The 25,962-nt window shown below is 40.6% G+C and overlaps 1 long non-coding RNA gene and 1 pseudogene across 1 annotated transcript in view; one reads left to right on the top strand and one right to left on the bottom strand.

Moving 5' to 3' along the window:
* PSLNR (prostate enriched lncRNA) overlaps positions 1-23,743 on the bottom strand; it is a 37,395-nt gene extending 13,652 nt beyond the window's left edge. Inside the window, exons 1-3 of the long non-coding RNA NR_132385.2 lie at positions 23,201-23,743; positions 17,737-18,006; positions 10,183-10,248 (exon numbers count right to left, since the gene is read on the bottom strand). This is a non-coding gene — a long non-coding RNA (prostate enriched lncRNA). The remainder of the gene's footprint in view (positions 1-10,182; positions 10,249-17,736; positions 18,007-23,200) is intronic.
* GRAMD4P2 (GRAM domain containing 4 pseudogene 2) lies at positions 13,812-14,274 on the top strand (annotated as a pseudogene).
* Positions 23,744-25,962: the final 2,219 nt, after the last annotated feature.

Raw genomic sequence — 25,962 nt, 5'->3', positions numbered from 1 at the left:
GAAGTTTCTCAGAATGTCATGTAACCAAGGTATTGCTAGTGCTTATGGAGAAAATAGAGCAAGTGGAGAGAAACTGAGTAGGTAAAAGTGGACAGGGCTTGGTGATGTTTGGGATATGAGGGATAAGACAGAGGATGGTCTTAGGAAAATCTCCTGTTCTTTCTTTTTGGACAATGGTATAGATGAATAAAAGTTCCAATCACTGGGATAGAAAACACTTGGAAAATATGAGATTCATCCAGGCGAGTCTTTCATAAACTATTCCATAATCAGTTTTATAAGTGAAAGGGAGTCAGAACTCATCTCAACCTTGTTTGCTTCTATCATACTGCGTTGTACCCTGTTGGATCTACTTATCATATTCTTCCTGGTAGCAGACTTACCTACTAATGTTTGCACTTACTCCTTGCCGGCCTGGAAGCTCTGAGTCAGCAGGAGCAGTGTGTGTGCCCACGTGTGTGTGCACTTTCTTGGGTGTGTGTGTGTCTGTGTAATTGGATTCCCCACAGCACATTATTGTTTTATCCATAGTAAATGGTGGATGAATATTTGCAGTATTTAACTGGACTGCAGCATTGTGGAGGTCAGATAACCACATTTTGATAGACAAGTTGCATTCTAACCTTGAAGCAAACAAAATGCCCATCTTATCAGCCTCCCTCACACTGGCTGTGCCTTTCCTTTGTGGTTGTATGTTTAAAGAGCTCATCCAACAAGCTTCTTAAAAAGGGGATTGGACCTTTGCCAGCCTCTGGCTGCATGGCAGGGTGACTGTGTCTTTGAATATCCCTGATGGAAGCTGGTCATCCTTTTGTCTTTGGGTGAATAGACTACTCAGGAAGGCAGGGATGAATGCACCCCCCACCCTGCTTTCTTGTTAATGAGTTTGCCATTTATTTTGGCAGATCTGAAATAGTATTTCAAAGGCAGTGCAGAAGCAGATGGGGACATTACTTGTAATTGTTTAATACTGTTATGACATGACATTTGCTTACAGAAAGAGAGGCAAGCCACCATCTTCAAGGGAGGGCATAGTCATCGACTGTGATCCTGGTGTCCATGTTGGAATATCATGGCAACTATCTCCCAGCACTGGACTTGATTACTTCTACTGCATTCCCAGTGATAGCTGAGTTGCTTAATTTACTTTCTTCAACACCGTTTGTGAAAGGGAAGCTAGAAAACTGCACTATGTATGGCTTAGTGCACTGAAAATTTGACGTTATCAAAGGAGCCATGATCTCGTCTTTCTCTATCCCTCTTCAAATGTTTTCTATAATTATATTCAAAGGCTCATGGGTCTTACCATGGGTCATCGAGGAAGGGCTGGTAACTCTTTAAACCACAGGTAAAATATTACAAACATCTGAAACCTGCATTTTTACAGGTGAGAGAAATGAGGCCAGAAAAGTTAAGTGCATCATGTTGAATACAATTTTATTTGGTGGTCAGGCAGCCCTGGGTTCAAATCCTGGCTCGATTGCTACCAATTAAGCCACTTAACTCCATCTGAGCCTCAGGTTGTCCATCTGCGTAATAAGCAGTAATAGCAGCTATCCTGTAGGACTACTGTGAGAATTACAACTCAGGCAATGACCATGATATTTCTTGGCACAGAGGTGTTCACTACTTAGGCAGTGTTATTATGATGTCTAAAGTCACAAAGGGAGTTTTTGAGAAAGCTGGAATGAAAACTTGTTTCTCTCAACTCTGACCTTATTAGAGCACACTGTTGCTTGAATAAAGCAGCCCTGCAGTCTCACAGTGGAGGGTGTTTGTAACATCTGCTCAGGCACGGTTTCATTTACTATATACCCAGAGACTAGCACTGTACAAGTTGTGGGGAGATACTCATGTGAGTTGGTGGACATTTGGTCAAATATTTTCCCTAAACCCAGGTCTCTATGGCATTCTACAGAACACTCTGCATCCTTCTAAGGGACACTCGAAGAGCAAATGGATTGTACAGTGAGTTACAAATAAAATGGCCAATCTCAGCATGAAAGACTGAGGGTGTTACCTGAATGAGGATGCAGACCCTCCATCTACATATAAGCAAACCTAGGTGACCATGAGCCTGCCAGAAAGAAATCACATGCTATGTAAAGGCTTAGTAACAGTGATGAATATCTGAACTTGAAATCCAGCTCCAGAGCAGTTCAGTGGCCTCTCTTCCAGGAACAGAAGCCAAAGCAGCTCAGGATTGTTGAAGGCTCTGAAAGGTCAGTGAGAATCCTGGTATATGTTAAGACTTTCCCACCAAAGAAGGGCTCCGTGTGTAGAGACTGAAAAAGGATTCCCAACTTTGGTCCCTTCAAAACCAGAAACAAAGGTGGGGGATAGCCCAATTAAGTGGCCCTAGAGATTTGCCCAGGAGCTGGAGCCTTCCGGAGAAGTCCAGTTTTCCTATGCAGGGAGAGGACTGGGAGTTCTCTGGTCACAAGCGTTCTGCCTTTGTTTTCATGAAGCTATGTCTCTTACCTGGTAAGAAAAATGGAACCGCATGCAGCTGCTGAAAACTTTAACCAGAAACCCAAAGATATTGGCACAAAGAAAGGAGGCCTGAAGAAAACAAGTGACCATGAAAACACATTTAGCTCTTAATCTGACCCATTTCTCATGGGCCAGGCCTGGTGCCAGGAATGCGGTGATGAATAAGGCCTGAGCTGAGATTGTGAGGATGAGAGGGAGTCCACCCTGTGGGGATCTGGGATGATAGAAGGGCTCCACAGATAGAGGACCCGGGTGGCCAGAAGTTCTGCTGAGTGGAAAAGGGCTTGGAGTAACTGAGGTCAGCTGGATTCCTTAAACACTGCCCAGAGCCCTTGAAGCCATCTAAGGGCACACTTCTCAGGGCTGCTCCGAACCACACTCAACTGGGAATCTTTTAAGGACAGCTGCTGGGTTAGGCTTGCCAGAGATGGTGCAGTTTTTCCCCGCGGCAGTAGAGGAACAGACCGCCTCTGTGCAGGAGCGGGGCCTCACAATGCCTTGGACTAGGGCAAAGGAGGATCTCCGCCTCTCCCCGTTCTGGGCTAAGACATGGCAGGACGCCGACCCATGGCTCCATGGACTCTGGCACCAGAGGACCCCCACTCTCCAGCGCCCTAGACTGAAGCAGAAGACCTCAGACCTGCTCCGCCCTGAACGAGAGTACAGTGGGACCCGCGACCCGCCCTGGCCTCAGGCACTGGAGGACCCCTGCAACGCCATGCGCTAGACTATGCTACTGAAGGACCTCTCCCCCGGCTCCGCCCTGGACTAAGGTACCGGAGGATCCCCGCCCCGCCCCGCCCCGCTGTGTCCTGGGCTGTGCCACTGCAGAACCCCCACCCCTCCACACCCTGGACTGTGGCTCCCGAGGACCTCGGCCCTGGCTCGCCCTGAGCTATTCCTGCCCCTCTGTGCTCTGGACTGTGGATCCAGAGGACCTGGTCCTGAGGCAACTTGGGCTACCGCGTGGACTCCAGGACCTCAGTCCCGCCGGGCCCTAGACCAAGACAGGGGAGAACCTCTGACCCACCGCCCCCTGGATAGGGCACCAGAGGACCCACATCTTGCCGTGCCCTGGACTACAGCACGGAGGGACCCCGATCCGCCGGGCACTGGGCTCCTGCACAGAGGAACCCCCGCCATGGAGATCTGGACTATCCTTGCCCCACCGCACCCTGAACTACTGCACGCCAAGACCCTCGCCTGAAAGCGCCCTACACTCTGGCATGGGGGAACCCTGCCCCGCAGAGCCCTGGACTCTGGCGTTGGAGTACTCCCACTCCATTACGTCCTGGACTTCTGCACCAGAGGACTCCTGCCCCACCGCACCCTGGACACCTGCACTAGAGAACCCTGCCCCGTCGCCCCCTAGACTATGGCCCGGGAGGATCCTTGCCACCGACTTCGGAACAATAAGACCCCTGACCCGCCATGAACTGGATTCCAGCACTGGAGGACCCCCTGCCACGGCGCTCTCTGGGTTACGGCTGCCCCACCGCGTCCTGCACTACAGCACAGAAGGACTGCCGTCCCTCCGCGCACTGGACTGGGGCACAGCAGGACCGGGGTCTCGTGCGTGGTGGACTGCAGGCCGAGGTGACCCCCTCCCCGCCGCGCGTTGGACTATGGCACAGGAGGACCACCACTCCCGCATGCCCTGGACCACTGCAGGACAGGTCGCCCACTCCGCCGCACCCTGGAATATGGCACTGGAGGACCCCTGCCCTGCCGCTCCGAGGACTCCACCACCGAAGACCCTCGCCCCCCTGCGCCCACGACAAAGGCAAGCGAGGACCTGGCCTCACCGCCCCGTGGGCTATCGCATAGGAAAACCCCCACCCCACCCCCACCCCGCGCCAGAGACTCTGACAAGAGAGGACCCCTGCCCCCTGCTCCCCGGACTACAGTGAGGCAGGAACCACACTCCTCCCAGGTCCTCACTATGGCAACTGTGGACCCCCGCCCTGGTACCCATGGACTAAGACACTGAAGGACCGTGACCCCACCACGCCGTGAACTCCAGCATTGGAGGACCACTGCCTTACTGCGGACTCAGTCACTGGACTATCGCAGGGCAGGATCCCTGTCCCGCCATGCCCTACACTATGGCACGGGAGGACCCAGCCTCACTGTGCTCTGGACTCCAGCACCGGAGGACTCCTACACGGAGGACTCCCGTTCTGCCACGTCCTGGACTCCTGCAGAAGTGAACCCCCGCCCCGCTGCACCCTGGATATAGCAAGGCAGGAATCCTGCCCTGTCACGCTCTGGACTGCGGCACCTGAGGATCCACGCCCCAGCGTGCCCTGGACTACTGCTCCGCAGGACTCCTGTTCTGCTGCACCCTGGACTACGGCACCAGAGGACCCAGCTCCCGCCGGCCTGAGCTATGGCACCAGAGGACCCAGCTCCCGGCAGCCTGGACTATGGCACCAGAGGACCCAGCCCCCCGCTTCCTGGGCTAAGGCACAGTAGGACCCTGCCTCATCGTGTACTCCTGCTCAGGAGGACCCTCGCAGGGCGGCGCACTGGACTAAGCTACTGAAGGAGCCCCACCCCTGCCTAACCCTGGACTAAGGCACTGGAGAACTCTTGCTCCGCAGAGCCACGGACTCTTGCACAAGAGAACCTCAGCCCAGCCGTGCCCTGGACTGTGGCACAGTAGGGCCCACACCACGCCATGGACTCCTGTATTGGAGGAAGAGTAGTGATAAATGTCCAGGTTTACAACTTGAAAAGTAGCAATCAATGTGCCACAATAGATGGATGTGATGTAAAATTATAAATGATGAAAACATTATGTGTAATTGCCTAGCCAGAACAGTTACACAAGACAAAGACGTAAAAGAAATCCACATAGGGAAGGAAGAGGTAAGATTGTTTCTGTTTTTTGAAAATATAATCTTAAGATAGAGAAAATCTTAAAGATTCCACCAAAATAAATGGTTATAGCTGATGAAGAAATTCAATAAAGTTAATAGTTACAAAATCAACATACAAATATCATTATTGTTTCTATTAACTAATGACAAACTATTACCTGAAAAATAAAGGCAATTCAATTTATAATAGAATCAAAACAGATATATAAATATATAAAAGACAGGAGTAAATTTAATCAAAACCATAAAAGATTTACATACTGAAAACTATAGCACATTGATGAAAAAAATTAAAATGGCATAAATAAATGGAGAAACATCCTTCATTGATGGATTCAAAAATTAGTATTGTAAAAGTGTCAATGCTACCCAAAGCAATCTACAGATTAAATGCAACCACTATCAAATTCCAATGTCATTCTTCACAGAAATAGAAAAATTACTGCTAAAATTTGTATGGAACCACAAAAGACCTGGACCAACCAAAGCAATCTTGAACAAAAAGAACAAAGCTGGAGGCATCAGACTACCTGACTCCAAACTCTATTACAAAGCTATAGGAATTAAAACAGCATAGCAATGGCATAAAAACAGACATGTAAAACAGTACAAAGGGATATAGAACCTGTAAATAAATCCGTGTGTCTGTGGTCAATTGATTTTTTGATAAAATAACTAAAAATACACAGTGAAGAAAGAAAATTATTTTCAATAAATGGTGTAGACAAAACTGACTATCCACATACAGAAGAATAAAATTTGACTTTTATTTTGCTCTTTATACAAGCATCAAATCAAAATTAAAGTTTAAATGTAAAACTACTACAAGGAAATATAGAAGGAGACTGTATGACATTGGCCTGAGCTATGATTTTCTGTAGATTATTCCAAAAGGCAACAAAAGCAAAACACACAAATGAGACTGCATAAAACTTAAAACTTTTCCACAGGAAAAGAAGCAATGATAGAATTAAGAGAACCCACAAATGGGATAATATTTTTAAACCATACATCAGGTAAGGGGCTCATATAATAATATATAAGCAACTCAACCTACTCAAAAATAAGAAAAAAACTATGCTTATTAAAAAATAAGCAAAGAATCAGAATAGACATTTCCTACATCATACAAAAGGCCAACCAGGTACATGAAAAAATCATAAACATTCCTAATTATCAGAGAAGTGCAAATCAATGCCACAATGAGATATCACCTCACACATTTTACTAGGGCTATTATAAAAAAAGATGGAAGATAAGTGTTGGTGAGGATGTGGAGAAAAAGAAACCCTGTACACTGTTGGTAGGAATGGAAATTAGTACAGCCATCTTGGAAAACAGTACGAAGCTTTCTCAAGAAATTATAAATTTATTTACCCTATGATCCATCAATCCCACTTCTGGATATGTGTCCAAAGGAATTTCAATCAATATGTCAAAAAGAGACATCTGCAATTTCATGTTCATTGCAGCAATATTCATAATAGCCGTGAATTACAAACAACCTAAGTGCTTATCAACTGAAGAATGGATAAAAATATGTGGAAAAATTGGAACCCTTCTACACCACTGGTGAGACCTTAAAATGTAAAACAGTCTGGCAGTTCTTCAAATGGTTAAACATAGAGTTATCATATGACCCAGCAATTCCACTCCTATGTATTTACCAAAAAGAAAAGAAAACAAATGCTACACAAAAAGTAGTACAAAAATGTTTATAGCAACAAAAAGTAGAAAAGAACAGAAATGTTCATCAACTGAGGAGTGGATGAATAAAATGTGGTGTGTCTATAAAATAGAATCTTATTTCTTAACAAAAGGGAAAAAAGTGTTAATGCATGCTCCAAAATGGATGAACATTAAAAATATGTTAAGCGAAAGAAGTGAGTAAGAAATGACTATGTGTTATTATGATTCCGTTTATGTGAAATGTCCAGAATAGGCAAATTCATAGTCAGAAATTAGATGAGTGGTCACCTAGAATAGGAGGGGTTTTAAAAAGGCTGGAAAAAATAGGGAAAGATTGCTAATGGGTGCAAGTCTCTTTTAAGGGCATTAAAATGTTCTAAAATTATCTTATGAAGATTATTTGTCCACCCAGTTAATATACTAAAAGAATTTGAAGTTTGTACTTTAAATGAGTGAATTACATAATGTATGAATTATATCTCAATAAAGCTGTGGAAAATTAAAAGCATATGTAGGATGCATACAAAAATACTACTTATCTTTATAAATGAATGAAATTCTGTCATTTGCAAAAACGTGGATGAATTTAGAGGACATTATACTAAGTAAAATAAGCCAGACACAGAAAGACAAATATCTCATGATACCACTTACATGTGAAATCCAAAAATGTGCACTCATAGAAGTTAAGAGTAGAGTGGTGGTTTATCAGAGGCTGAGCAGGTCGGGTGGCGGGGGTGGAAAAAGGGGAAATATTCAATGGGATAATGCTTCAGTTAGGAGAAATACATTCTGGTGATATGGTACACAGCAAAGTGACTGCAGTTACTCATAATATAGTGCATATCTTAAAAGCGCTAAAATAGTACATTTTAAATATTTCACCATAATGTAATAAATATCTGAGGTGAAGGATATGTTATTTAGCCTAATTTGTCCACTTCACAATATTTACATGTATTGTACCACATTGTACCCCATATATATTTATCAATAAAAACAAAATTTTCAAAAGTTAGAAAAACAGATGTGCTAGATCTTCATCTAAAGACATTTCTGAGAAAAATGTATCTGTTTTCTTTCAGAAGAAATTTACACTTAATAGATATTATGGTAACTAAAGTAAGGCAGATAATTTTGGCCATCAGCTTATATTGTGGGATAATCTCTTTTTGCTGACCTTGAAAAGCTGTGGCATATTCACAACAAGTAGGAAAATTTTTTTATCATGATCAGGTAAAGGTTCTGCATGCTTCTATTTTGAATAATATTTTCCCCTTAGAATCACAAAGTGTGAATGCCTTTTATTTCAGAGGTCTAGCCCTAAATGGTTTAGTCAATTACATCATGCATTCTGAAATAAGTACTGGTGCATTTGTGAAGGTACTATATATAATTGTGTTTTTAATTTAACCATCATGTAAGTCTACTTTTCTAGTTAAGAGTCTATATTTTATAGAGGCCCTCCATATATATAGAAGAGCTTTTCTGACAGTATATCCTTTAAATTGCAAAGATAAATAAAGGAACAATTTTGCTTTCATTTTTTATTATTGTTATTATTTTTCAAGGCTAGTCAAGTGAAGCAGTGGGAGTGGAGAAGGAACTGCTTTCATTTTTATATGTTGGTGTTACAGGCTCTATGTGACAGGCTATATATTTGTCTGCTGAATTTTAGAAACAAAGTGAAATATTTATTTCATATTTCATTAGATAGGGATGACGATTACATTGAGGGATTGGGACTAGACTGAAGGCACCACATCATCAATCACTTGGAAACAAAATTTTGCCTATGTGTTATGTTATATTGGCAAAAACTTTTATTGTGTCAGGCGATATAGCTCCCTATTGAAATATGTGAAAAATGCAGAGAAAAAAAGGCAGGATTGGTTATCAAGGGATATTTAGGCCTGAGATACATGATGCAAATATTGAAAACGTACACTTTTTAAAAATTAGATTTAAAATGTAAATTGAAGCAGAGCATTTAGAAAAAGACATAATATCTACTATAAAAGTCCTGGGTTAGAAAAGTTAAAATACTAAATGAAAAAATAATGCTTCTTGGGTGGCTTAAAATCAAATATGAGACAAAAAATTACTCAGAAATTTTTCTAAGATTAAAAACATGTATACAGTTTCTTTGATACAAAATGAAATAAATGTCTGGATGTAACTTTAATAGAATAGAATAGGGAGACAAGGGCAAAGAGCAGGTGTATGCAGAATGAAGTGAACATATTATTGTAACAATGAGAGGGACAGAGTTGAATGATTGCTCTTGGAGACAAGGAGTTCTGATGTCTAAGTTAATGACAAATCTTTTGTTTGCAAGTTAAAAAAATGTAACTTAAACTTGGTGAAGGAATAAAGGGTGGTTGGGGGGATGACTCTTTGTACATTAAACTTGTTTTAATGACTAATGAATTAATCATAAGTTCAAATGATTTTATGGAGGCCCTTTCTTTTTTATTTGATGTTTCTGGACTCCTTTTTTCTTTGTATTTGCTCCATTTTTACCTACTTGAACAATTTTTACCCTCGAAGTTTAGGAAACACTGTAACCAAATGTTCCAACAAGATGTGATCCCTGAAAGCATTTGCAGCTGGGGGATTAGAAAAAAAGGGCTTTCTCTTTCAACAAATGCATGTTAATCTCGATGAAAACTCAGAAGTTTAAACATGGTCCTCCTTGGGTCATGTGGCTACCCCAGGACCAATCATTGCACAAACATAGGAGATACTCTCAAAAGCCAGGCTGGAGTCAAGGTTATCCAGTGGAGTTTCCACTTTAAAAATCAGTTTTGTCAGCCTTTGTGTTTGCATATTACAGACATGATAGCTGTCTATTCCACTTCTATTAGAGATGAAAACTAAGAGCATATGCCCATTCAGAGGATTTTACATGAATCTTCATAGCAGCTTTACTTGCAACAGCCAAAACCTGAAAACATTCCAAATGTCCATGGCAGGTGAATTTGTGACTTATAAACTTACTATGGTATACGTATATAATGAAATAATACTCCCTAGTAAGAACAGAACAATTGATAGATGTAGCAACATGAATTAATCTCAAAAATAGTGATGCTGAGTGATCAGAAAGTATACATACCATATGATTTCATGTATTTGGAAATAAAAACTCATGGATAGTGACTGGAAGTGGATCAGTGGTTACCTGTGGAAGAGATGGGGGGATAGGCAGGAAAAAGTGAGTAGAAAAAACACAAGAAAACTTTGGTGGTAAAGGTAATGGATATGTTTGCTATTTTAATATGTTGCTGGTTTTATAGAGCTACAAATGCCAAGAATTACCAAAATGTACAATTGAAGTATGTGCAGTTTATTGCATGTAAATAAACCTTTTAAAAATTAACCGATACAAGTTGACTTACATGACCAGAAAGCTCTTGAAAAACTCTCCTGTTTTCTCCCCTATTTTTATTCTTGCATGCCCTTATAGACTGTGTTAACACATTTCTCATCTTACGGTTCTTTTGTGTCTACATTTCTCCAGGTCAATATAACTATCACCATAATTTCTTGGTTTCTCTTTAGTTCATCAGTAATTATGAGTAATGTATTGAAATGTTAATGATATGTTCATGCATTCAGAATCCTCTGCTCTCCGATCTACATAATAGTGAATTATGCTGTCAACGATTACACAGTATATTGCTTTTTTTTTCTTTTTTGAGACAGAGTCGCGCTTGGTTACCCAGGCTGGAATGCAATGACACATTCTGGGCTCACTGCAACCTCCACCTCCCGGGTTCAAGTGAGTTTCCTGCCTCAGCCTCCTGAGTAGCTGGGATTACAGGCATCTGCCATCATCCCCGGCTAATTTTTGTATTTTTATTGGAGACAGGGTTTCACCATGTTGACCAGGCTGGTCTTGAACCTCTGACCTCAGGTGATCTGCCTGTCTTGGCCTCCCAAAGTGCTGGGAATATAAGCATGAGCCACCATGCCCAGCCAGAATATTGCTACTTTTGCAAATAGCTACAAATGATCCTGATCTGGACACACTGAGTTGATCATAGCTTTGTAAAAGAGGATAGCATTGTAAAACTACAAAATTAGACTAATAATAAATAACATAGAATGCTTTCACTATAAGAAATAATACTATCCTAAGCAAAAATAAATAAATAAATAAAACTGGAGGAATTATATTTTCTGACTTCATATTATACCACAGAATTACAGCAACCAAAAGAGTATGGTACTGGCATAAAAATAGACCCATAGATCAATGGAACAGAATAGAGAACCCAGTAACAAATGTACAAATGTACCTACAGTGAACTCATTTTTGACAAAGGTGCCAAGAACATACACTGGTGGGAAATGGTATTGAAAAAACTGGATATCCATATGCAGAAGAATGAAAACAGACTAGTATCTATCACCAAATACAAAAGTAAAATCAAAGTTGTTTAAAGATGTAAAGCCAAGACCTCGAACTATAAAACTAGTACAGAAAAACTTTGGGGAACACCTCCAGGACATTGGTCTGGGCAAAAATATCTTGAGCAATACCCCACAAGCACAGGCAACCAAAGCAAAAATGGACAAATGGATCACATTAAGTTAAAAAGCTTCTGCACAGAAAATGATACAATCAACAAAGTTAAGAGACAATCCACAGAATGGGAGAAAATATTTGCAAACTACTCATCTGACAAGGATTAATAATCAGAATATATAGAAAACTCAAACAACTCTTTAGGAAACAATCTAATAACCTAGCTAAAAAAAGGGGGGCAAAAGATTTGAATAGGTATTTCTCAAAAGAAGACCTACAAATGGCAAATAGGTATAAGAAAAGTGCTCAATATCACCGATCATCAGAGAAATTTAAATCAAAACTACAACAAGATATCATCTCACCACAGTTTATATGACTTGTATGCAAAAGACAGGCAATAACAAATGCTAGCAGGGATGCAGAGAAAAGGGAACTCTTGTACACAGCTCCTGGGAATGCAAATTAGTAAAACCACTAAGGTGAACAGTTTGGATGTTTCTCAATAAACTAAAAGTGGAGCTACCATATGATCTAGCAATCTTACTGCTGGGTGTATACCAAAAATAAAGGAAATCAGTATGTCAAATACATATCTGCACTCCCATATTTGTTGCAGCACTGTTTACAACGCTAAGATTTGGAAGAAACCTTAGTGTCCATCAACAGATGAATGGATAAAGAAAATGTGGTACATATACACAACGGACGACTATTCAGCCATAACAAAGAATAAGATCCAGTCATTGTCAGTAACATTGATGGAACATTATGGATCATTATGTTAAGTGAAATAAACCAGGCACAGAAAGACAAATGTCACATGTTCTCACTAATTTGTGGAATCTAAAATCAAAACAAACTCATGGACACAGAGAGTATAAGGATGGTTATCAGAGGCTGGGAAAGGTAGCGGCAGGGGGTGTTGTGGGAAGGTGGGGATGGCTAATGGGTATAAAAATAGAGAGTTAATAAGACCTACTATTTGATAGCACAATAGGGTGACTATATTCAATAATAATTTAATTGTACATTTTGAAATAACTAAGACTGTAATTGAATTTTTTATAACTTGAAGGATAAATGCTTGAGGGGAGGGATACCCTATTCCCCATGATGTGCTTATTTCACATTGCATGCCTGTATCAAAACATCTCATGGACCCCACAGATACATACACATACTATGTACCCACAACATTTTTAAACAATCTAATACAATTTTTTAAATGGCACTTACTTTTTGTTACCTTCAACTATTGTAAAATATATTCTATTATTTATGATTAGCCCTGTTGGAAAACAAATTTTAAAAACACTATTTAAAACCAAATAAATGGACTAGGAGTAACTTGCATAAAAATGACAGAAATTGCTGCTACATCTTCTAATTATTGAGATGGTATTTCTATATTTGTGAAATTATCTGTGATAGAAAGTTGAATTGTTTCCAACATTATTTTTATAATTAAATGTTATATTGCTATTTCTTTAAAAGTAGCCTTTAAAATATTACCAATCTACTTTAAAGTCTACTTGCCAAAATATTAAACTATCCTTAAAAAAAAGTAATTTATTTAATTACCTAACTTCCTCAAAGCAATGTCCTAATTTTCTCAAGCAATTATCTGATTTTCTCAAGCAATTGATATTAGCAAGTTGTGCTAGTTAACTGCTGAGAATCATGGTCTACATATCAGATAAACCATCTGTCAATCCTTTAAAGAAGACTTTATGAGCCTTAGATATGTTAGTCCAATCTGTATCACTGACTTTAAACACTGGATAATTGACACTCCATGTTGCCTGTAAGCCTATTTCACAGCAGCTGAGTGATGTTAATAGGTACTTCTTGGAGTGCCATTTTCCTTGTAACCCTTAGATTAATTCAGATTGACTGAGTTCTGTGTCAGTGGAAATTGCCAGAATTACATCATTGTGCTTTGCATCTAGTTTCACTTTTCCAAAAGCCTACACAGATTTCAGATGTTTAGAAAATAGCTCTTGTTTTCCTTCTGGGTAATCTTTTTCATGTCACCACTCTTGTCAGCATCTGCACTGGGCAAATTTCCTAGGACCTCCCTTCTGCTTCTTTTAAAATACGAAAACAAAATCAATGTAGCGCAGCAAGCCAGGGAAAGTCTGCTTTGATTGACTTACGACCATAGTCACCCAGCAGTTCCTTCAGAGGTGGCTTCCCAAGTCAGACACTGAGTCCACGCGCTGTCCGCCTGCCTGCAGAAGTGGCTCTGAGAGCTGTTTGAGGAGAAAATGGGGGACTTTGGGCTTCAGCCCGAGGAGAACACGGTGGAGATGGAGGAGCCCCTGGGGGTCCGCAGGTTAACTGAAAACATGGGAGGACACAAGCGTGGGACCAAGTCTGTCACTAACCTGTAAAGAACTCTGACCAAGCTGACTGGGCACTCTGTCTGCGCGCCTTTCTTTGCCACCACGTGTGCGGGAATGCCTGGGGCACGACTGGGCCATCTCAGTGTTCTTGTTTCTAGCCATTCCGAGGTTACCCCTCAGCAAAACGCCAGAGGCCGGCAGACACAGTGGAGCATCCTGCAGTAGGGATCCGAAGCCGTGGAATCTCCAAAGGGCCACGACTGCTTCCCAGAAGCTCTAGCCCGTTGCCCGGAAAGCCCAGGTGGTCTTTGGCAAGACCTCCCGGATTGTGGTTTTGATTTGCATTTCTCTGATGACCAGTGATGATGAACATTTTTTCATGTGTCTGTTGGCTGCATAAATGTCTTCTTTTGATAAGTGTCTGTTCATATCCTTCGCCCACTTTTTGATGTGATTGTTTGATTTTTTCTTGTACATTTGTTTAAGTTCTTTGTAGATTCTGGATATTAGCCCTTTGTCAGATGGGTAGATTGCAAAAATTTTCTCCCATTCTGTAAGTTGCCAGTTCACTCTAATGGAAGTTTTTTTTTTTTTTTTTTTTTTTTTGCTGTGCAGAAGCTCTTTAGTTTAATTAGATCCCATTTGTCAATTTTGGCTTTTGTTGCCATTGCTTTTGGTGTTTTAGACATGAAGTCCTTGCCCATGCCTATGTCCTGAGTGGTATTGCCTAGGTTTTCTTCTAGGGTTTTTATGGTTTTAGGTCTAACATTTAAGTCTTTAATCCATCTTGAAAAGTTAATAATAATAATAATAATGAAATATGGAAGAAATAAAAAAAAAAAAGACCTCCCGGAGACCAGGAACTTGGTCGGTGCTTGCGGCCTGAGATCGAGCTCTGGGGCACCTTCCTGTCCTTCTGCTTTTTCCTTGGCCGCCTTAGGGGGCGCGCCTCGCCATGGGTCTCCCTGCGGGCGGCGCGGTGGTGCTCCTGGATGTCACCTCCAGGCGCTTTTGAGACTGCGACCGGCACCGGGCGCCCAGCACCTGCGGATTGGCCTCCCCACGCCTGGCTCAAGGACCTCCAGCACTCCGCAGTGCGGGCTGCAGGCGACCTCAACGTGGAGCTGCTGCCAGCGCCACAGGCCCCAGGGAAGCCCAGGATCTGCTTCCCAGGCCCAAGAAGGGCAGTTTCGGAAAGTCTTTGGCGTGATGGAAGGCGGCGCCCATCTGGGGCGGGGCTGAGAACTAGGCTGGCGCCGCTGCCTGGTAAGCGGGGACCAAGAGGCCCACGGCCTCCATCAGGAACCAGGTGCTTGTCCAAATCCCGGACTTCAAGGAGCAGCAATGGTGTCAAGCTGGCTGACACCAGGAACACCCAGAAGTCCCCGCTCCTGTCCTTCCGCACTCAGGAGTGGGGATGGCCACAGGGACACCATCCGCCCACAAACCACTGGCCTTTGCTGCCATGGTGCGCGGAGATGCGGTTCCCGAGGCCACTTTTGGCCAGGACGCCGGGATCTTATCAGCGGCAGCATCCCGCGCTGACACTCAGTATTGACTTTCCCCAGACATTGCTGGATTTTTTTCCTTTTTAAAACAATTTTGCAGTGGGAGAACAAAAAAGGGCATCCTCAGAGCTTTTACAAAATTCTCCTGGACCTGTGGTTCTATGGTGTTCACCTCTGCGTTTTACTGACCACTAATTGGCCAGAGCTCCTAAGGCCTATAGGGGTCCCCCTGCCCCACCGGGTGCTTTAGACACTCCTGAGGGACATTCATGGCTCAGGAGGATAAAGGTCCTCAGGGGCCTGCTGTGAGGAGGACATGCAGCCCCTCTGCCGCCGCGTCTTCTGCCATTCCAGCCTGGAAAGAGATACCTTGCCCTCCACCCCACAGGCCTTCATGACCTTGGGACCCACTCTTTAGAGGCCACGTGCGTTTCCACTGCCAAAGCAATGACACAGGAGATGGAAAGAAATTCTTGGCCTGGCGCGCTGGCTCACGCCTGTAGTCCCAGCACTTTGGGAGGCCAAGGCGGGCGGATCACGAGGTCAGGAGATCGAGACCATCCTGGCTAGCAAGGTGAAACCCCGTCTCTACTAAGAACACACAAAAAGTTGGTGGGCACCTGTAGTCCCAGCTACTCGGGAGGCTGAGGCGGGAGAGTGGCGTGAACCCGGGAGGCAGAGCTTGCAGTGAGCGGAGATCACGCCACTGCACTCCAGCCTGGGCAACAGAGCGACACTACGTCTCAGAAAATAAAAAAAAAATTTTGCCTTCACTATATGTCCAAGTAATTTCTCGATTAGAGCCCAGAGTCGTGGGGCCCACACCGCCAGCTGACACATGAAAGTGTGGCAACGATGTGGTGGTGTCTGTGTGGCAGTGTGTCCGCATTTCTGTGTGGTGGTGTATCTGTGTGGCAGAGTGTCTGGTGCTATGTCCATGTGGTGGTGTATCTGCATGGTGATGTCTCCGTGTGACAGTGTTTTGTGCATCTGTGTGACAGTGTCTGTGTGTCCTTGTGTCCACATGGCAGTGTGTGTGGTGGTGTGATGGTATGGAGGTGTGTCCATGTGACAGTGTGGCAGTGTGTGTGGCAGTGTCCATATGGCAGTGTGTCGGTGTGTTCATGTGTGTGATGGTGTGTCCATGTGACAGTGTGATGTCTCGTGTCCCTGTGGTAGTGTGACAGTGTGTCCATGTGGTGATGTCTCCGTGTGTCTGTGTCCCTGTGATAGTGTGGTGGTGTGTCAGTGTGATTTCTCCATATGTCTGTGTGTCCGTCCATGTGACTATGCCAGTGTGTTCGTGTGACTGTGTGACGGTGTCTCCATGTGGTAATGTCTCCGTGTGTCTGTACATGTGAGTCTGGTCATGTGTCCACGTGGCGGTGTGTCCATGTAACAATGTGGCGGTGTTCCCTCCCCGGCTTGCGGAGCTAGCATCTTTCTCTCTCAGCCCAGGACGCCTGAAGAGGCCCCAGCTTGAACATAAAGTATTGATATTTTACACATTTGCACATAATTAGAATTTTGAAGCCGTAATTTCAGATAAGGTGTCTAGGACATAACAATATTGATGTAAGAAAGCCATAAGCAATGTTTATTTTCAATCAGATTTACTAAAAAATTTTATTGAACTGGTCAATTTTCTTTGCCAATATTACTGTATTCTTATTTCTAGTAATAGAAGTGTGAAAAAGCATCAAGGAAACTTAAATTGCATTCTCATACTGACTGCATACAATAATTCTGAAAACAGCGGAAGTTATATATATCCCCCATAAGTAAAACATGAGTAACACAACAAATGAAAAACGAATAGGAGACAATTCAAATAATGGCGACCTGTTATTCTCATCTAGTTAAGTACTATTATTTTCTAACAGGAATTTGCTATTTCAAATATATTATCTGAGATGTCTATATATTTATATTTTGAGATACTATACAAATTTGAGCCAATGACATAGAATTTTACAAATCAAGAAGCTTATTCTGGGGCCATTTCTTTTGACGTTTTCTCTAAACTACTAAAGAGGCATTAATGATACATAAATTACATTATCTACATTTACAGCATTTAAAATGTGTTCAGCATGAAATATTAGCTACAGGGGAAGCTAAATAAATTAAACATGGAATAAAGATTTGTCCTTAAATATAATCTACAAGAAGACTTTGATATTTGTTTTTCACAAGTGAAGCATTCTTATAAAGTGTCATAACCCTTTTGGGGAAACTATGGGAAAAAATGGAGAAACTCTGAAGGGTTTTAAGTATCTTACCTGAAGCTACAGACTCCATAACCTCTCTTTACAGGGAGCTCCTGCAGCCCCTACAGAAATGAGTGGCTGAGATTCTTGATTGCATAGCAGAGCTTCTCATCTAAACCCTTTCCCTTTTTAGTGTCTGTGTATCAGTATAAAAGTTCTATAAACTGTAGTTACTTATTTTAATCCCAAAGCACAGTAACAATATACTTCATCCTAGGGTTGGCAGTTTCTCTGAGTGTTTTGTTTAATTATCATTATTATATCTGCAGGATTCCAAAGCGCCTAAAAAGTAAAATATTTTAAAAAGGGGAAAGAGAGAAAGAGGAAGAAAATAAAATTAATAGCCCATTCCGTCACTGTTATTACACACCACAATACCTTTTTGTTAATCTAATTAAAATTAGTGACATCATTTAACATTTATGTCTTCAACAAAAGTTTGGAATCCTGAAAAAGCCATTTAATTTGCTAATAAATATATTTGAATTGAATTGAAATCCTTAAGTATTACTTTAAATAAAGAACACAAGATGAATTATGATGTAGAAAATTCTATCCCTCATTGTCCAAAATCTAATAGTTAAATTGAACTTGTTAAATAATATTTTTGTCCAGGCGTGAGGCTTACACCTGGAATCCCAATAGTTTGGGAGGCAAAGGCAGGTGGATTGCTTGAGCTGAGGAGTTGCAGACCAGGCTCGGCAACATGGTGAAACCCAATCTTTACCAAAAAAAAAAAAAAAAAAAAAAAAATTAGCCAGGCATAGTGGCTTGCCTGTAGTCCCAGCTACTCAGGAGGATGAGACGGGAGGATCACCTGAGCCTGGGGAAGCTGGGGCTGCAGTAAGCCATGATTGTGCCACTGTACTCCAGCTTGGACAACAGACTGAGACCCTGTCTCGAAAGAAGGAAGGAAGGAAGGAAGGAAGGAAGGAAGGAAGGAAGGAGAAAGAAAGAAAGAAAGAAAAGGAAAGAAAGAGAAAGAAAAAGAAAGAAAAAGAAAGAGAAAGAAAGAAAGAAAGAAGAAAGAAAGAAAGAAAGAAAGAAAGAAAGAAAGAAAGAAAGAAAGAAAGGCAGGCAGGTGAGAGAGCGAGGAAGGAAGGAAGGAAGCAAAGAAGGAAAGAAGGAAGGGAGGAAGAAAAATAATGGTTTTGGTGCCAATAATCTTTGTGGAATTTTGCTTTAATGAAATAGATTTAACTAAGTAGTGACATGATCTGCTTAAGTGTATTGACCCTAGCAATCAGAGGCATCTGAATCCCCACAATGACTTGACACTTACATTTGACAAACATTGATTCTCCTATCATACCTAAGGCATAGTCGGAATTTCAGAATTCCAACTTTCCCTATGCTATTTGAGCACATTGCTTAACATCTCTAAGACTCGATATTTTTACTCTTAAGATACTACTAATAATAGTACATAGTTTATATGATATAATGTGTATCAAAAGCATTATACTTTCAGGCAGACAGCAATTTCTCAATAAATATTTGCTAATGTTTTAGTACAAACAGGAGAATTGGATTATGATACTTATGACACTGTTGATCCTCCTTCTAGAAACATTTGTTTCTAAAACTTGTTTTCAAGTTAGAGCACTATTTTGTGTTCAAATTGAAAATACTGTATGTTCAGATTTTTTAAAAAACAGTATTGCATTAATGTTTTAATAAAAATATTCCTAAATGAGCTTGAGCAAGGAGGATGGGGAGATAAGTAAAATAAGGCTTTGTGGCATAGGAGACATTTGGTGGAAATCTTTCAGCTCAACTAAGATTTGAAAAAAAAAAAGAGAATTTTTATAAAAAATGTAAAGGCAGGATTTACCCTGATGAGCTTGTGGAGAAAATACAAAGTCTAACGTAATTCAAAAGAGACTAATCAGTCAAAGTAGTTTTGAAGGAAATATCTTGAAGAGAGAGAACATAAAATGAAGATCAGGTATGTAATTATTTTAATAATCTATCCATGAGATAAAAAGCATTGGGATTTTTTTTATTTGTCAAAAAGGGACAATAGTTTTAAGAACCATTCTTTGTTCAGCCTAAAGAGGATTTTACATTTTGAGCCAGTGACATATTGTGCTAAGTAGGATAATATCCTAATTTGTGTCTATATCAACAATTTTGTTCTCAATAAAAACACTTTATTCACACAACTGATGATCATCTGCATTTGATTTAGTGCTGAACTGTCAAAGGGGGGCTAATAAAAACAAAATATTAGAGTTGCAAGTGGCATAAGTGGAAAATAATGATCATACTCATCACTACTGAAATAATAAAACAAAGCAAAAAATAAATAAGAAAAAAATTGACTACATGAACATTTGCTTCTCTCCTAAGAATCAAAACCCTTCGTTTTCTGTGGCAAAAAAGCATCTGGGTCCATGAACCCACGCAAAAGTCTACTGTTTCTGGGAGATAAGAAGCAGCAAAACACATCAGCTTTCCGAGAAGGTTAAGAAACCTCTCATAGCCTACCCTATCCCACCTGAGACCAGGCAAAGGATCACTGCTTCTGGGGGAGGGATGCAAGAAAAATACTTCTCCATCAGGAGAGGAACAAGGATTGTTTTGGGGCCCAGGATTTTGCACTAATGCAGAGTTGTGCTACTGTGGTAAAGGGTTGGAAAATCTCCATCCAGTGACACAGACAAAGGTGCATTGTTCCTATGGAAGAAGAAATAAAATAGTATGTCCTTAGTGTGGGGTTGAAAACTTGCAATGATATAAATCAAAGGTTTTCTACCACTGAGGTGGGAGGAGGGCAAGGTATCATTTCTTCCTCAAAAAACAACACAGATATGAGACAGTTTGATTCCCACTAGAATAAGAGTCAGGAAGTGCTAAAAATACCCCTTCTCTGAGTGTCCAATGATGAAACTGGCTCAAAAATAACATGAATCATCCCTCTGCCCCCAACCTGAATTTTCTGCCTAGTCACACACACACACACACACACACACACACACACACACACACACAACATGATGTTCTACAGTTAGAGAGGAACAAGAAAGTGGAGAGAGACCCTCCTATGACATATGTGGTAAGGACTATGGAAAGATAACTGGAACAGGAGCACTGGAATATGCCCTCCAGAGCCTAAGGCCCCACACAAGGCACATGATATAGCAGCCTGCTGCTGGAGAAATCTGAGTTACGTGGTTCACTGAATGTTTCAGACACCGTGGCAAAAACCAACCTTTGTTCCTGCCCACACTAATAGCATGACACAAACCAAAATGAAACATAAATATAAAACAATCTCAACATAAACAATTATCTCATGATCTACTGATTTTCTACATCTGATGATTTGCATTTTTTAGAAACTGGGAGACACATAAAACCAAGTTAGAAATTTGGGTTATGAGTTATAATATTTTCAAAAGATAAAAAGTCAACAGAATCAAATTCAGAGATAATTCAGATGTTGGAACTAAATGCAACTAATTTAAAATAATAATGATCAAAATGTTAAAGAATCTACTTAAAAAAAGACAACATGCATGGAAAAATGAGGAATTTCAGCAGAGATGGGAACAGTAAAAGGCAAAAGCTAGAAATAAGTGAAAGCATGAGAACAGAAATGAAGAATTACAACAGCAAGCTGATTAGCAGACTGGTCATCAGAGCTAAAGAAAGAAGCAGTAAATTTTATGCTAGGTCAATACAAATTATTTGAATGGTAGCACAAAGGGAGGAAAGAGAAAAACAAAATAAACCAATGAGCCAAGCAAATAAAATACTCCAGTGAATCCAAGAATTCTCTGGTAACATGAAATTAAGTAAAATACAATTAATTGGAATTCCAGGAGAGTAAAAACAGAATGTAAGGGAAGAAAAATTTGAAAAAGATGACTAAGGAGACCAAATAAACTCAAAAAGATCCAAGAAAGATAAATACAAAATTTAAAGAACGCTAGAATAATCACACTAGTCAAACTGCTGAAAACCAACGATTAGCAAAAATCTTGAATTCAGTCACAGAAAAATAGGAACACTGTGTAGAGAGATAAACAGAAATAGCCATTACAGTGAACTGCGTGTCAGCAACTCTACAAGTCAGAAACCAATGATACAAAATTTTTAAATAACTTAAAAAAAGTCAACCCCCAATCTTACATCCATTAACTATATAGTGAAAATAACAATGAAATGAAGACATTTTCAGATTAACACTGCAAGAGTCCCTTGCTAACAGGTCTGCACTAAAATAAATGTCAAAATCATTTCTTGAGGCAAAAGGAATATGGAAGCAGATGAAAGTTGAAACTACACAAAGAAATAAAGAGTGCCAGAGAAGATATAAAGATATATAGCCCAATTATTTTACATTGCTCTAAAGATAATTGTCTTATTTTTTTAAAAAAAGAGTAACTTTATATTATGGAATTCATAATATTTGAGACTATAATGCATGACATAAATAGTATAAAGGAGAGAGAAAACAAAAATATACATTTTAAGGTTTTTATACCATAGTTGGTATAATACAAATTATAGGTTACTATAATAAGCTAGAATAGGTATTGAAATCTCTAGAGAAACAATGAATATTTTCAAAAGATGGTATGTGCATTAATATTTTCATACAACTTCCAGCTTTTGTTTTTCTTCATTTAATTTTATTTATTTATTTATTTTTGAGATGGAGTCTCGCCCTGTGGCCCAGGCTGGAGTGCAATGACCTGATCTCAGCTCACTGCAACCTCCACCTCCCAGGTTCCAATGATTCTCCTGCCTCAGCCTCCCAGATAGCTGGGATTACAGGTGCCCACCACCATGCCTAGTTAATTTTTGTATTTTTAGTGGACATGGGGTTTCACCACGTTGGCCTGGCTTGTTTCAAACTCCTGACCTCGTGATCGGCCCACCTCAGCTTCCCAAAGTGCTGGGATTACAGACTTGAGACACTGTGCTAGGCCCCAGCTTTTATTTTTTAAGGTAGTTGTTGTGTTATTACATGTGAAATAAGGTTATTCTTGAATATCCATGTTTTGAGAATAATGACAAATTAATTTATCTCAACCTAAATAACATTTTATTATTGAATATTTAAATATTTTTATTATTTTTACTTTGTAACAGAAGTCATTCTAACTGGTGTGAGATGGTATCTAATTGATGTTTTGCTTTGCATTCTCTAATGATTAGTGATGGTATGCATGTGTTAATATGTTTGTTGGCCACGTATGTGTTCTTTTGAAAACTGTCTGTTCATGTTCTTTGCCCATTTTTTAATGGGGTTATTTTTTGCTTCTTGATTTGTCTAAGTCTCTTATAGATTCTGGATAATAGGCCTTTGCTGTATGCATAGTGTGTGAATATTTTCTTCCACTCTGTAGGCTGTCTGTTCAATCCCCCTTGAGAGTTTCTCATGCTGTGCAGAAGCAGCTCTTTAGTTTAATTAAATCACACTTCTCAATTTTCGTTTTTCTGGCAATTGCTTTTGAGGACTTACCCATAAATTCATTGCCAAGTGCAATGTCCAGACGAATATTTCCTAGGTTTTCTTCCAGGATTTTTATAGTCAGAGGATGTAATCTTATGCCAACGGGTCTTAATAATCAAATGACTCCACAGTGAGAATCATTACTCTGAAAAATTGATTTTGTTAGAATGATGGAAATTTAAATATTTGAAAGTAAAAACACATGCCACCTTTTTCCTAGAACTCTGCAAGGCAAATTGCTGTAAGACAGGCAGAGGAAGCACAATATATATACATATCCAAAATATAATTTGCAGTGAAATAAATGAAAGCAAATTATAAATAAACTTACCTGATTTTACAAACTAACCTTTAAAGGGATTTCTACTAATTTTTCTATTGCCTGCATTGCCCTTTCTTCTAGATCCAATTTATATTTTTGTACTTCACCAATGTGTCTCCACCATTGTGTAGTTTCCATATGTTTTTTAAGATTTAATATTACTTTTTCCAACATCTTTTTATCCTCAAGTTTTTTATATTCCTGTTGTATTTTTTTATAGATAATAACTCCTGTTGAATAACTTTTTAGTCAAATAGACATATTTTGAAGATACAGCTTTCAGCTTTGCTGTAAGATCATCGAACTACATTAATAAAATAATATAGCTTGATAATGAAGTAGGCTGAGAATAATCTCATACAAAACCAATAACAAATTTTGAAATACATTTACTTGCAATAAAATGTTATCTATAATGTAGATTCTTTAAATGTTAACCCGTACTCAGAAATTCAAGAACAAAGTAAAAGCCACCATGAGTCACAAACATATATTCTTTACTCTCATCATCTTTGCCACAGAACTTTTGCACTTGATCTTACTGTTGTTTTTCTGATAATTTGTGTTTTTTCCTTTCTTAAATGGCTCTAAGTTAACTCTTATTAGAAAGTTTCAAACCCCCTTCTCTCATCATCATGCCCCAAAATTTGTCAAAAAAAAGTTTCAGAGATATTATATTGAGTTATTTAGGCCAAAGGCAATAAATGGCTCTTACAATAAGACTTTGAAAATAATGTAATACTCTACAATAGGCATGGTGTATCATGCATATAATCCTAGCACTTTAGGAGGCTGTGGCAGAAAGATCCCTTGAGGTCAAACATTTGAGATCAGCCAGAGCAACATAGTGATACCATAATCTCGACAAAAAAAAAAAAAAAAAAAAAAAACGTGAAAAAATTAGCCACGCATGATGCCTTATGCTTGTAGATCCAACTGGTTGGGAGATTAAGGCAAAAGGATGGCTTGGACTCAAGAGTTCAGGGCTGTGGTGAATTATGATCAAACCACGGCACTTCTGCCTCGATAACAAAGACCATATCTCAAAAAAACACAAAATAATCCTATAAATAAGGATTCTAATGCCACAAGCCTTTCCATAGGCTGTAAATGTTTTATGCTAATTTGAATTGCATTTTAAAAAGTAATGATTCTTGGGGTAAAGGCCATAGAATACAGTCCCAAGAAATAAATCCACATATTTACCTTACAAGAAATAAATCCACATTCTTGTGTTACAAGAGCTCCTGAAGGAGACACTAAACGTAGAAAGGAAAAACCAGTACCAGCCACTACAAAAACATATCGAATTGTAAAGACCATTGACACTATAAAGAAACTGCAAACTAATGGGAAAAATAAAAAGCTAGCAACATCATGACAGGATAAATTTCACATGTAACAATACTAAACTTAAATGTAAATGGGCTAAATGCCCCAGTTAAAAGACACAGACTGGCAAGTTGGATAAAGAGTAAAGACCCATTGTTGTCCTGTATTCAGGAGACCCATCTCATGTGCAAAGACACACATAGGCTTAAAATAAAGGGATGGAGGTATATTTACCAAGCAAATGGAAAGCAAAAAAGAGCAGGGTTTGCAATCCTAGTCTCTGATAAAACAGACATTAACTGAAAAAGATCAAGAGAGACAAAGAACAGCACTACAAAGCAGTGCCATCTGCTTTTCCTCAGGCCTCTGCTCCATCAGCCATCAGGTGGCAGCCACTCAGGATGTTGGAACCTGGCCATCCCTGCTTCTTTCAGTGGGTGAGGTTGGTGGCTGCTCCACCTGTTCCAGGCACACCCTTAACAGAGGTGGCTGCTTGCTCTTTAAGCCAGCTTGGCCTTGCCTGGCATGCACAGGCCCCGGGGACCGACATGCTGCTCTGACTGAGACCGTCCTGACTTTGTCAAATTCTACGTCTGGCCTGGGCCACAGAAGCACAAGTCCCCTGGGTGGTACCACTGGCTGCTTTCTGGACTGGAACATAAAGTCCTCCTCAAGATGACCTGTGGTCTGCCTCTTGGCAACCAACAAGCCCGCAGTGTCATACGACCCATGAGACATGGACTGAAGGCCCAAAGGGAGTGCACACCATGCTCCAGAGCCAGCTGCTCCTTTCCTCTATATGGCCCCATTTGCAGCACAGTTGTTGCACTGAGGCTTGTGCATGCTGGGCAAGGGCAAGCTGGCTCAAAGGGCAACCAGCTATCTTTGCACGGATGTGCCAGCAGCAGGCAGACCAGCCATCAACCTCACACGCTGCCAGTCAGGCTAAATCAGCTCTTCTACCATAAAGGTAGGGCCACAGTGCCATCTGGTTTTCCTAAGGCCTCTGTTTCTTCAGCCATTAGGTGGCACCCACTCAGGCTTTGGGAACCTGGCTACCCCGGCTTCCTGGAGTGGGTGAGCTGGTGGCTGCTCCACCTGCTCTAGGTGCACCCTT

The sequence above is a fragment of the Homo sapiens genome, chromosome 22, assembly GCF_000001405.40.
Source record: "Homo sapiens chromosome 22, GRCh38.p14 Primary Assembly".
Taxonomy (NCBI): Eukaryota; Metazoa; Chordata; class Mammalia; order Primates; family Hominidae; genus Homo; species Homo sapiens.
This window is presented reverse-complemented; position numbering and strand designations above follow the sequence as displayed.